A 14122-nucleotide genomic window follows, 5' to 3' on the forward strand; every position below is an offset into this window, starting at 1 on the left:
TCCCTTCTTTGGCTAACCATGGCCTCTTCTGCAGGCATGGAAGTAAAATGGTTAAAAGAAAATTATGCTTCTCACAATGGCAGAGCAAACTACTATTCCAAAGTCTCCCAAAGAGTGAGATATTGTGTTTAGGAGTCTAGGAAGCAGTTGATGATTCTTTGGTTAAATATGTTTGATGAAGTGCTTGTTTAACCAAGTTCCTTTAGTTCAGGTGTAGAGCTTTTCGTATGCTAATGCACATTTTGAATTTTCCAGAGAGTAATCGTATACACAGAATCTCCCACAACTATTCAACCAGAGCTCTTTTCTAAAGGACATGGTTTGACAAGGCCTGCATGGTTTTCTGATCCCAGAGAGGCTGGTCAGAAATTGGTAATAGGAGTTTGGTGGCTGGAGTTGAAGCAAAGCCTGCTCATGACTGTGGGACAGAAAACATTACTTACTGTCTGATGTAGGATTATTCCAAGGCCCTCTGGAAATCAAGAATAGAAAGCAACAGTACAATTTCCAGAAACTGAGAAGTAGGTGAGGCACTAGAAATGGGTCCCTGGAGTGTCCTCCAATCTTCACCCCTCTTTGCCCTCACTTGCAGTATTGCTTGGAAGCACTGAATTGCTGTGAGGGAGTTCAACCCAGCTCACCAGTTTTCTCATCTCCTTGGTTAAGAGAGTTTAAAGAACCTTTGAAGAGCTGGTAATGAAGTGGACAAATTATACCACAGGTGTCATCATCATGCAGACTCCAGCAGGGACAGATGTAGAGCATGGGACAAAAGGTTATTCTAGCTATAGCCTTTAAGAGAATTACTGTATACCTCCAACAAATGCTAGATAATGGTGATGGTATGACTATTAAGAGTGGCCATCTTTGAGGACTTACAATGTGCTGAGCACCCTGCTAAGGACTTCACAGACATTATCTCAATTAATCCTCACCACATCGGCCTTATGAAATAGAATGCCCATGTTATAGATGAGCAAGTTGAGGCTTAAAGAAAATCACAGAGGTCACCAAGTCAATAAATAATGCAATCAGCATTCAACAGAGATCTTTCTGACTCCAAAGTATGTGGAATTAACTATTCTGCCATACAACCTGGGTCAGCACCTTATACATCTGACTCAGCTAAGATACAGCCCAAATGAGACACCTGCTAAAGCTGTGTCATAACCCAATCTGTCTCCTGACGTGGAATTAACCGGAATAAATCTTACTGTATGCAATAAGTTAATGCGTATTTTGGATTTAACTAATAAGAATAAGCAATTTTGAAGCACCTCTTCTTTTAAATAAATTATAGTTTTTATAAGTTTATCAGGGAAGAAAAAAGGGATGGAGAAATGAAATGTAGAGCAGCTGAAAAATTAAATATGAGTTAATTAATAAATGGCTATTTTAGGAAGAAACTTCCAATACAATCAGTTTCTAAATTCTTCCAATGGTTATTTAAAATATGATGTCAAATGAAATATATACTTGCCACAATATGACACACTCCTCCCAGGGACAGTCTAAATATAAACAAAAAACCTCTGATGCCACTTACTTCTATGCATGGGCAAATTTGCATAAGATATCATAAATAGATCCATATCCTCTTGCACCATGCAATGGCCTAAAATACTCCCCAGCACCCTATTCAACGACCAGCACCAATCTAGAGAATGATTGTCCAGCTTTATAGAGATCATTATGGATGAGTGGCATGCCATCAATCAGATAACTCCATAGATCCCATGTAGTCCTGAGGTCATCACTCAAGAGAGAAATGGTTTCTCCAGAAAGCTGCTCTGAAGGCTTTTTTGCTTCTAATCTTCATTAGCCAAATACAAAGCTGATTAACTGGAGACATAAGAGGAATATAAGCGGACATGTTTGCTCCAACTGAAATAATTGTGGTAAATTTGTGTTTGCAGTATATCCAAAAAAGGAGAAGAGAATCAGAATTTTATTTTGAATATTTGGGTGTGTCCTTCTGCCTACATTGTTCATTTACTTAAAGGAATTCTCCTGATAATAGCATGATGATAAATTCTACTTCACTATATTGTTTTGTTCTTGAGGGTTTTGTTTCTATATGCCTTTGTGTAGATGATATGTGAAGAAAAGTAAAAAATATGAGTATCTGGTTCCCAAGTGGGTAGACCTAAAAGAAAATGTCTCTAAGCACAGAAAAGTATCTGCACCCACTTACAGGGCACCAGTACTGCTATGGGCTAGCTTTCTCGGGCTTCTCCAAGTTGAAGGGTCACATCGTATAGGGTGGTGCAAAAGTAATTTGGGTTTTTGCCATGGAAAGGAGTACTATCTTATCCAGAAGACAGAGACTCCAGAACACAGGGAGGCAGTCTTTGTCTCCTTCTTCTATTTCCCAAATCAACTTCTCCCGGATTAGTTCAAATCTAAAGCATGTTGCTGGCACTTTCCTTGCACTGCCACCTCCAACAGCCTCCATCACCTTCACTCTCACTCATGTCCTTTAGGCCTCGAAACACAATGCTTTGATAAAATACCAAGATGCCTATTCCCACCCCCTTTCATTTTAATCCCCAATACACGGACCAGTCTCAGTGAGTTTTACCAGCCTGGTGGCTGAGGTTGGAGTCCCGAGATCAGGGCAGGCATCTGGATGCCTAAAGGAAGAATCCAGTCATGTGACATAGAAATTGTTTACTTTCCAAATCACAGTTGCTGCAGCCCAGGAGAAAACTTGTCAAGCCTGCAGGGTGCAAGAAGACAATGGGGGTTTGCTCTGATACGGTAATGGTTGCCTTTGTGTTGCACTAATTGCTCAGCCCCAGTGCTTATTTGGCTCAGCAGTGAGAGGAGGGGTCTTACTTTGGCTTTCTCCAGTTTGATGTAATCTTAGATAAACCTACCAGACTCTTCTTTTCTTAAAATAACGCACCTCAGAATGCGATAGTCTATGTGGTCACTTAAACATAAGAAACCTGCTCAATCAGAGCAAACAGAATTAACGGTTTTAAATGATCAGTACCTGCCCATAATAATAAATAATTATTCATGTAGCAAAGTCAGACAAAGTAGTTTAGCATCATATACAAGATTTTAATCATCTTTAAGGTCCTCAGTCCAAAAGAAATTAATTACATAAGCACCATATATGTCTTTAGTAATATGGAGAATATCCTCCTGCCCTCGCTTGAACAAGAGTCAAGTATACATTACCGGAATCAGTAAAAGGGACAGCCACACTCCAAATCTGGCATCAAGACTTCCCTGTATTCACAAAGAGTAAACAGGGGAGCCTGACAAGCATCAGGACTCGACCTGGATAATGGGCCTTGATCCAATAAACTGTGTTCAATGATTGCTCCAGCAAAGTGGCCGGGCTCTCACCAGACACTCTAAGCTCTTTCTTACAGCACTACAGGGACAGCTCTGACTTCTTCATTAATACGACAACTTTAGCAGCAGTGATTCAGTTACCTATAAAAAATACACTCTATTGACAAAGATTATGTACAGAAAAACAGGAAAATTTAAACAGTGGACTGTGAAAAACATCTGGGAACTTGTCAAAAAAGCAAAAACTAAGCTGCTTCCCCAGAAAATAAGGGAAACACAAGCACAGGGCAACATTTCTCTTTCCTACACAGCTTTGTCATGTGGGGACTTAACCACGAGCACATAGAGGAGCTTTCAGATGTAGCTGTGAGAACTTATACAAATGTATAGAAAGTTCTCTGAAATACCTAAAAATATTGCCATGTACACTTTATAGAACTTTTGAGTTTACAGTGTGTGCTGCTCTTCTATGCATGTCATATAAGGCTAGAGAGAATAAGAGAAAATAAATATTTTTCCTTTACTATCTATTAGTTCTGGGCTAGTCACTTATTTAGTGGGGTTATTTCAGTAGGAGAGAGGGAGCTTGATCATTTCTTTCTAAGAGAACAAACAAGGATGCATACTTTTCAGCTTGTACTGAAAGGTGACTTTATGACAGTTCTTGCTATTCTGCCACCACAGTATTAGATTTTTATTACTGCATAACAAAGGACCACAAATTTAGCAGCTTCTAACACCCATTTATTGATTCACAATTTCCATCTGTTGAAGTGTGGACATGGTGTGACTGGGTTTTCTGCTCAGAGTCTCACAAGGCTAATATTCAGGTGGTATCCATTCTCATCTGGAGCTTACAGTCCTTTTCCATGGTCATGAAGTGGTGGTAGAGTTCAATTCCTTGCGGTTGTAGGACTAAGGTCCCTGTTCCTTTGCTGGCTTTCCTCCAGATGCTAGACTCAGCTCCTAGACAATACTCCCATTTCTTATAATGTGACCCCCTCATCTTCGAAGCTAGCAACAAAGAATCTCCCTTGCATCAAATCCTTCTCACACTTCAAATCTCTTTCTTCAGGAAAAGCCCTGTCCCTTTTAGGGACTCACCTGATTAGATTGGATTCAACCAGGATAATCTCCCTTTCTTAAGGGCAAGTAATTTCAGGCCTTAATTACATCTGCAAAATCTCTTCACAGAAGTTTCAGGAGTAGTGTTTGATTGGATAAGTGGGAGGAGGTGTGTACATACCCAGGGCCAGGACTCTCAGAGGTCTTCTTAGAACTCTATACCTACTAGAACTGCTTGAAAAACTGAAAAGCCTTCAGAAAAAATCCTAACATGACTCTCACCATCAGGCGAATCTTCAAGGAATCTGCTCTGCACCAGTCAAAGATATGGAAGTTCGCCTTTAGGGTTATGGTGATGTGATGGCAAATGCTGGGGCTGCACAATCTCAGTTGTCTTTGAGGATGAGCATAAATGCCCCACCGATGAGCCTGAATATGGAACACAGAGTCTGGGTCACTCTTTCCAGAGGACAGAGAAGCTTGAAAATCAAGTGAGGAAGGGGTTATTTTAACTCCTTTCTTTAATTCTCTGTAAAGGGGAACCAAGCTCCTCTATTCCTAGGCACAAACATGCAAACATGACCAGCTTGGCCTTCTCTTGAAGTTTGCCCCAGAATTGACAAGAGGCAGATAGATCCAGTCACCTGTTATTACTGCAGACAGGCTGTTTAACTCCCCAGTTACATGTGTAAATGACTAAGAGGACACTTCACCCTCATCTCCATAGAATGGCACTTTAGAAAGATAAATTTTATGACCTAATTCTTAGATGCAGACTGAGAAGGAATTAGTTTAAAAAGAAAAATTCTTCTTTTCATAACTTAAAAGTGAAAGTGACCTCAAGGGGCAAAAATGAAACTGAATGTCTTCTTCTTTTTTTTTTTTTTTTTATTACAGTAGGCTTTTTTCCCCGTTTTTTCCTCCATTAAAGTAAAAAAAGCTAACTAAGTCTTAGACAGCTTAGAAGTTTTTTGAATTCTTCTAAGTTCTAACCATAGCTTTGGTCTGGTATTATTCTAAACACTCTCTGGGTTAGATAATTTTTCTTCATTATGAATCTTAAAATGGAAATTTTAACAGGTTAGCACTTCTTTCCCAAGAAGGGAGATCATTAATATGTAAAAACCCATGTGAGGAATAACATCTCCTTGCTCCCCACATTCCCTGCCTCGTCGCCCACCCACTGCCGTGACTACAGGGGCACATGCCCAGTGCCTGATCAATTTCAGAAAACTCAGCTCATGGTCAGAGAATAGGGAAGTGGGGAAGCCTGAGGAGCAGAAACAAAAAAATGGAGATGATCAGAAGGCAAATGAGTGACCAGGGACAGAAAGAGTGTAGAGACGGGGACCTAGTAGCTTGAGGCTTATGGCCTTAGAGCTACATGTGTTCCATCCTTGACAACAGACCATAGCGATCACATGACATTAAGGAGGTTACAACCAATGCAAGCAAGAAAACTAAAATGACAGTCATCTTGGTCAGATAAATGAATTAATAGGAAAACACAGCTATTTTTGCTATGATGCTATCTTTATTATGACAGTTGTCCACTCTTACTCTCTCCTGAACTTATAATAATCATAATCATAATATGTTGATGAATATTATGTGTCCACTTGACTGGATGTCCAGAGAGCTGGTAAAGCACTATCTCTGGATGTGTCTGTGAGGGTATTTCTGGGAGAAATTAGTGTAAGGAAAATGGATATGCTGCAGTCAAGAATAGGCCAAGGCAGACATCTGGTCCGGCGAGACTCAATGACTTTGGAGTGCAGGCGCACAACTCTGCTCATTATGTAGCCACGCCCACATGAGCTCGTGTTTGGCTCAGAGCCGCTATTGTCTGTAAAAGCCACTATTGTCTGGAGAAGGTGCTGAAGCAACTGGAAGCAGAGAGCACCCATAGGGAGTGAGGTTTTGCCAGCGGGTAGACGGGCATTTTTGACTGTGCTGCAAGAAGTGCACACCCAGTCCCTGAGGGATGCAGCGCAGGTGGGGGCCCTCCAGGCACAGGTGGGGCATCTGGAGGCCCAGCCACACAGCTCAGAAAAAGAGTTAGAAGCTGCCATGAATGGGAACCTCCAGGCACAGGTGGGGCACCTGGAGGCCTAGCTACAGAGCTTGGAAAAGGAATTAGAGGCTGCTGGAAATGCAGGCCTGGAGGTCATCGGCAGTACCTAGGGGTCTGCTCCATAAAGAAAGGGAAGATGCCCCACCCGCAGAGGACCCCCCCACACACACAACGAGAGCAAAGGGAGCTCCAACGAGTTACACACTCACAGATGTGGATAGATTTTATTTTGGCCAGGGGTGACAGAGAGAAAATCGATAATCAGCCCAATGAAGCACTCTTAACTTTGTGGAGACAGTTGTCTCCAGAGCAGCAATTCCAGAAAATGCCCAAGGAGGGAGAAGGACATTGCTCTGTGACCCAGTCCCACCCAAGCACTCCAGTTCAAAGACTACATGCTGCAGCCAGGTGGAGGGGTAAAGCCTTTTCTGTTTGATTAAGGAACTAGAAGAGGTGCCCAGCTTGGGGGAACAACGGACAACTGGAGTTCACATGTGGAATTAGTGATCCACTGGTCCCCCACCAATGTATAGTGGGTGCTGGCACTGGCGGATACTGGCGCAGATTGCAGCCTTGTTTATGGGAACCCGGATAAATTTCTGGGCAAACCTGCTCACATTGACGGTTATGGAGGCCAGTCAGTGAAAGTGAAATCTGTATCTCTGCATCTTGGCATCGGCTGTTTGGCTCTCCGTTTATATACTGTTTATGTCTCTCCCATACCGGAATACATTCTCGGGGTGGATGTTTTACATGGCTTGGCAGCTGTTCTATCACAGATTTGATGAATCGCTTGATGACGGAGTTGGGACAGTACTACTGTGGTGGGCTTAGCTATTGCATTTGTTTTTCTAGAGAGCCAGGAACAGTTTGCCTTCAGGGTAGGGCAACAATGGACTTTCACAGTGTTGCCACAGGGCTGTATGCATAGCCCCACCATATGTCATGGTCTTGTTGATAATATTATGTTAGCCTCTGATTCTCTTGCAGATTTAGAAGCAGCAACACTCCTCTTGCCTGAGATTGGAATGATGTGGCTGAGACCGCCTTCCTGGCAGCCAAGCAGGCTATTCAGCCGGCACAAGCCCTACAGCTGGTTGACAAGGGGTGCCCGTTTGAGCTGGATGTGCATGTGACCACAGATGGTTTCGGTTGGGGCCTGTGGCAACACGTGGAGTGCCTGAGAATGCCAGTAGGCTTTTGGTCCCAACTGTAGAAGGAGCTGAGCTCCAGTATTCCTTGATGGAAAAGCAGCTAGAAGCTGCATGTGCCACCCTTCAGGCTCATGAGAGTGTGACAGGATGGGCAACAGTCATCATGAGGGCAACTTACCCAATAGTGGGGTGGGTGCATTCATGAGTGACAAACCCCCGGACTGGGACAGCACAGACACCCACTTTAGCAAAGTGGGTGCTTACTTACAACAGCAAAGTATGATGAATACAAGCCCCTTAGCAGCAGAGTTGCAAGAGGTCTTGGGACCTGTAGTCCTAATGCAAGATAAGGCCATGGGGCCTGAGGCACCCTTAGACCTGAAGCCTTCACCTTTTAAGGAAAGGCACCCCCCATTTCTGATGAGGAATGGTATAAGGATGGGTCTAGCCAGGGTGCTGCTACTGCCTGGACTGCTGTCATGGTCCAGCTAGTACTGACACCATATGGTTTGATACCAGCTATGAACAAAGTAGCCAATGGGCTGAACTCAGGGCAGTGTGAATGGTGATCACCAAGGAGGTGACACCTGTGGTAATCTACACCCATAGCTGGGCAGTTTATCAAGACTTAACCTTGTGGTTAACTACCTAGAAGTTACAGAAGTGGCTAGTCGGTCACTGGCCCATGTAGAGTCAAGCCACGTGGCAAAACCTATGGGAGGAAGGATGACCTCCTCCGGCCAGATATGGGGACAAACGGTAACCTGTTGTTGGCTGCCCCAACGCCCCTAAAGGTAGGGAAATAAAAACCTGGCTTAACGTATAAAGCAACATTGGGGTAATGTCACCATAGGGTGGTTGCCTGCCATAACCTAGAGTTGTTGCCCCCTGTATTACTGCTGTGTCCTCTGGGTCCAGGGTTCCACCCTGTGGGTGGGTCTCCCCACTAGAAAAACTCCCTCAGCCTAGGAGGTGGAATACATTCCTATGTATCAGACCTGTCTGTCCAGGGCCTGTGCGCCCTGAGCCTGCATACAAGGCCTATGTGTCGGACCTGCATGTTTGGGGCCTGTGTGCCCAGAGCCTATGTATGAGGCCTATTTGTCAAACCTGTGTGTCCAAAGCCTATGTCTCCCTCAGCCTAGTGGGTGGAGTATAAAGAAAATGGATGTGCTGTGGTCAATAATAGGCCAAGGCAGACATCTGGTCCAGCATGACTCAGAAAGTTTGGAGCGCAGGTACACAACTCCATTCATTATGTAACCACACCTCATGAAGTGCATTAGGTGATTACCCACATGAGCTCGTGCTTGGCTCGGAACCACTATTGTCTGTAAAAGGTATAATTACCCTGCTAATGCTGTACGTATGGCTCACACCCAGACTCACTCCTGGCCAGAGAGAGAGTAAATCAATGTCGAAACTTTCTACGATTCCTCAAGTGTTTTTCCAGCTACCTGCCACTCGCCCACCAACTCCCCTTGGGCCTCAGTTAGAACCTGACATTAGCATTTGGATCAGTAAGAAGTGAGAGGAAGATCACTCTCACGAATGTGGGTAGGCATCATCCAGTCTATTGAGGGCACCAATAGGACAAAAGCAGGAAAAGGGGCGAATTTGCTCTTTGCTTGAACTGGGATATCCATCTTCTACCCTCTAAATCAGCCCTCCTGATTCTTAGTTCTTGCAGTCTGGACTGGAACTATACCACAGGCTTTCCTATACCACAAGCTTTCCTCCAGCTTACAGAGAACAGATTGTGGGACTTCTCAGCCTTCATAATTTCATGAGTCCATTTCTCCTGAGAAATCTTTCTTTGTATCTGTCTCTCTATATCTATGTATTTAGGTTCTGTTTCTCTGCAGAACCCTTATACAAACGGAAAACTCATATGCAACACATGTCTATACCAAATATTGTTCTAAAGTGCTTTATGTTAACTCATTTAATCTTCACAACAACACATAATATAGGTTATATTATTATCCCTATTTTAAAGAGGAGGAAAATGAATTCAAAGTAACTTGATCAAGGATATTTGGTAGTAAATGGTCCAACCAGAAATCTGTGGAAATCAAAGTTAATTATGTATAAAAAGGGAATATGCTGCTATGGGCACCACAATAGTCTCCACAGCTCAGTATCTTGCTTTTATATATTTCATAAAAGAATGTGAGCTATAGAGGAGAATACTATGCATATAGAAGTGGAATAGAAGAAAAATTGAAACATGTTTCCTAATGACAAATAGATGATACATATGGATATTAAACTGAATAACTTCCTCTTTGGCACGGTAGGGATTATTATTTTTTCATTATTAAATTAAACGTGGTAGCTAGATGTGAATCCAAGAAGCTACAAAATGAGAAGTTCCACAATGTCATGGGGTAAGCAATACTAGGTGCCAGGACATCCGGGTTCAATTCTTACCATTTAGCCATGAAACCGTTATTGTCTTGACCAGTTTGTTTTGTACAATAGATATAAAAAATGCCCCCACTTAGTTTATGTTCGTAGGTTCTTAGTAAGTGAAATAAAAGATAGATGTACATGTATTTGGAAAAGAATACAATTCTCTAGAAGAATAGTGTCTAAAAATAAGTTTCCAAGTATGCATACGTGTTTGCAAAGTTGCCTACATTTATACAAAAGAAAGAGAGGAAAGAGCTCATGGCAGAAATGGTTCAGGATCCCATTTTCTTACATAAAGAACAGGGACCATGGAGATTCAACTGGTTCGTATTAGTGATCTCCATTCATAGATGAACTGTCACCAGTAGAGCATATTACTGAGAGGAGAAAGAATCATCATGCTTACATCCATGAACAAAATGAAATCCCAGACAGGCTTTATCTGAAACACCAAGACATTGAAAGGAAAAGGAAATACCCAAATGCTGGCTGGCTTTTGCAGCTAGTTACTAGCCATCTATATACAAAGACATAGAAATTGTAGTACATGTATTCTGAATTGCTATATCCTTCTAGAATCAACAGCAAAAAACAGATATACTCAATCACATTTGAAGGATAAAATTTTCCATTAGCCTTATTATCTTTTACATATGTAGATGTCTCTTTTCAGTGGGAGTCAAAGTTATTTACAAACCACAAAATGTATTTTCTAATTCTTCTTCCTATCTATCAAAAACACAAAGGAATACAAAAACCTTGGCAATGCAATGTTCTTATTAATTGCAGAAAATTTTCAAAGTATATTCAATTCAACAACTTTTTTTTTTTTTTTTTTTTTTTTTTTTTGACCAAGTCTCACTCTGTCGCCAGGCTGGAGTGTAGTGGCACAATCTCGGCTCACTGCAACCTCCACCTCCTGGGTTGAAGTGATTCTTGTGCCTCAGCCTCCCAAGTAGCTCACCCAGCTAATTTTTGTAGTTTTAGTAGAGACAGAGTTTCACCATGTTGGCCAGGATGGTCTCAATCTCCAGACCTCGTGATCCACCCGCCTCGGCCTCCCAAAGTGCTGGGATTACAGGTGTGAGCGACTGCTCCAGACTACGTCCAGCCCAATTCAATAACTTTTAAGTTAAGTGAGTATGATTTGTGTTTATTATGCTGAATATGTGTAAGAAATATACAAAAAAATCTACAAAGACACAATCCAAGTAGGGCACCAAAGCAGGTGAAAGTAAAGACGGTATAAGACAATGCTTATACAACAAGAAAATTGCCATGTCAGATGGCCTTAGGTATGAAGAAGACATTTGATCTGAGCCTTTCAGAAGACTTTTACCAGGTGTAGGCTGGAAGCAGACATCCAGGGTTAGGGTGCACTGTAAGGAAAAGTATAAGAATAGACTGGAACAGAGCTTTACAGGGAAGACTGGAGAGCATAAAATGGATAGAGGCAGAAATGAGAGCCTACACAGAGGGACACAGTTTATAAAAGATATTGAAAGCCAAGCTACCAATTTTAACAAGATGTTTCAGCTGAACCATTGAAGGATTTTGAAAGTAGCCATTCTATAAATGAAGCTGTGCTTTAGGAAAATTCATCTTACATCACTGTGGGATCAGTTTGAACAGGGAAAGACTCGAGATCATGACCAATCAGAGATGACTGCACTAGGATAGGCAAGAGGTACAGCAAATTAGGACAGAAATGTAGGAATGAGACAGAAAGAAAGACATGGCAAATGGTGCAAAAGAACAGGCAGAATTTTATTCTGCAAGTATATAATATCTGTGAAATCACAATACTGTAAATGATGTTAATTTGTTTTGTTTTATAATTAACTGACAAATTATGGAAAATCTCTGTTACAAGAAAAGAGAAGGGCAACACTGTTCACTTTCACGATATCAAAATAATGGCATTGCTATCAGAGACCAGGAGGCAGAACAGGGAAGAGGTGATGGAAAAGCTGTGAGCGTTAATGTCCTTATCTCTCCTGATGAGGGGTCAAGAAATACTGCTCATGTTTGATCAGACAAAAAGTAGAGGTCTAAACAGAGTTATTGAGGTTCTAGAGTCAACCAGTGAAGGCATTAAAGCTAGTATCATAACTAGGTTGGGGGAAGCTGGAGAAGGGATGGTGTGAGCAATATAAATCCTCATACGAGGAGGTCGACAACACCTACAGTTGATAAATTGAGAAATAATAGCACAAATACATTCTTTAGAGCTATAAATCTTACCAAAAGGCCAAGAAACAAAGAAAGAGAGAGAAAGACACAGAGAAAAAAGGAAGGAAGGAAGGAAGGAAGGAAGGAAGAAATAGTGAGCATGCCTGGGATGGGGCAAGGGGTTGTTATTTTGTCACAAATTCTTCTATAATCATTTGATTTTGAACCATGCACATACATTGTTTTGATTAAAAATATAAATTAAAAATTTTAAAAACTGAATTTATGAGATTTGACAACAGTTTCAACAGAAAAGGAAGAGTCAGAGGATGACTAATTTTCACATCTACTTTACTGAGAGTTTGGTGAGTGAAACATTAATGTTTGTGAAGGAAATCAGAAGAATGAAAGATTTAGAGCAAGGTGAGATAGGGAGTTTGGTTTCACACATAAATTTAAATGTTAAAATGAGCCTTAATGCACTCATGGCAGATGCTACACAGGATTGTAGTCAAGCACTTGGGCTGCATGAAAGAATAGATTCATTGCTCGGAGTGAGTTATTTCAATGTTTAAATGAAAGTATAGTGAAGAAAATATCAACTTGCTTAGTTTGTTTTCCATACCATCATAACCCAACCTGACATAGAAAAAAAGATGCTGAAAGATCCCATAATAGTTCAAATAAAGAGAAATATAGAACACCCATCTTGTGTTCCTGCTTCTGCTGAAGTTCAATGAGTTTAGCCTAAGTTAAGCTAATAGAACAAAAGAGCAGAGACAGAGAGACAAAAGGAAGCATTGTACATTTTAACTAAAAATATATAAATTACAGTATTGTGTTTTAAGCAGCACCAATTATTCTGAGCCATTTTGAAATGATATCGAATACAAATGTACAAATGATCAAACAATTAAACAGCATCAGATCATAACCTCAGTCAGTATTTGGATTATTGTAAAATTCTATTAGAAACTATATCGCTGATGAGATATACATTACATACCTAACTTTTATTAACCAATTCAAATGGCCAAGAATTAAAGGTATATATATATATATATATATATATATATACACATACACACAGGCACAATCAAGCTGACAAAATGTTTTTCCAAATCAGTAGAATCCCTCTGTTGTCCTGGAACTAAATAAGTTTTTTGTTTCTTGAAGAAAGTATGAGAGATAAATAATGTTATTAAGAAGAGAAAAATCCTTGCAACCAGATTGATCTTCATAACCAAATCATCTGCTTTCTTAAAACACTCTGGTGGTGAAATAAAGAGTCTGACTCCATTTTTTAATTTTGATGTTGGATCAATGACAGCTTTCAAATTCTATCCCTCCTTTTTCCCTTCTTTTGCCCCACATCTGGGCAAGCGGGTAAGAAAACCTGAGCACTCTGGCTGGGTGCAGTGGCTAACGCCTGTAATCCCAGCACTTTGGGAAGCCAAGGCAGGTGGATCACTTGAGGTCAGGATTTCGAGACCAGCCTAACCAACATGGCAAAACCCCATCTCTACTAAAAATACAAAATTAGCCAGGCATGGTGGCACATGCCTGTAATCCCAGCTACTTGGGAGGCTGAGGGAGGAGAATTGCTTGAACCTGGGAGGCAGAAGTTGCAGGGAGCCCAGATCGCGTCATTGCACTCTAGCCTTGGCAACAAGAGCAAAACTCTGTCCAAAAAAAAAAGAGAAGAAAAGAAAAAAAAGAAAGGAAGGAAGGAAAGAAAGAAAATGAAGGAAAGAAGGAAGGAAGAAAGGAAGGAAGGAAGGAAAGAAGGAATGGAGAGAGAAAAAAGAAAGAAAGGAAGAAGAAAAAGAAAGGGAGGGAGGGAAGGAAGGAAATGAAAGGAAGGAAGGGAGGGAGGGAGTGAGGGTGGAAGGAAGGAAGGAAGGAAGGAAGGAAGGAAGGAAGGAAGCTTGAG

At 41.3% G+C, this 14122-nt stretch overlaps 2 annotated features.

The window, feature by feature from the left end:
• Window positions 2274-2854: an enhancer, noted in NCBI's record as "OCT4-NANOG hESC enhancer chr6:98973520-98974100 (GRCh37/hg19 assembly coordinates)". NCBI's record gives its function as "activates a minimal SCP1, AML or CMV promoter by ChIP-STARR-seq in naive and primed H9 embryonic stem cells {active_cell/tissue: H9 hESC(naive and primed)}" and the evidence as "EXISTENCE:reporter gene assay evidence [ECO:0000049][PMID:30033119]".
• Window positions 2855-3433: an enhancer, noted in NCBI's record as "OCT4-NANOG hESC enhancer chr6:98974101-98974679 (GRCh37/hg19 assembly coordinates)". NCBI's record gives its function as "activates a minimal SCP1, AML or CMV promoter by ChIP-STARR-seq in naive H9 embryonic stem cells {active_cell/tissue: H9 hESC(naive)}" and the evidence as "EXISTENCE:reporter gene assay evidence [ECO:0000049][PMID:30033119]".

The sequence above is a fragment of the Homo sapiens genome, chromosome 6, assembly GCF_000001405.40.
Source record: "Homo sapiens chromosome 6, GRCh38.p14 Primary Assembly".
Lineage (NCBI taxonomy): Eukaryota > Metazoa > Chordata > Mammalia > Primates > Hominidae > Homo > Homo sapiens.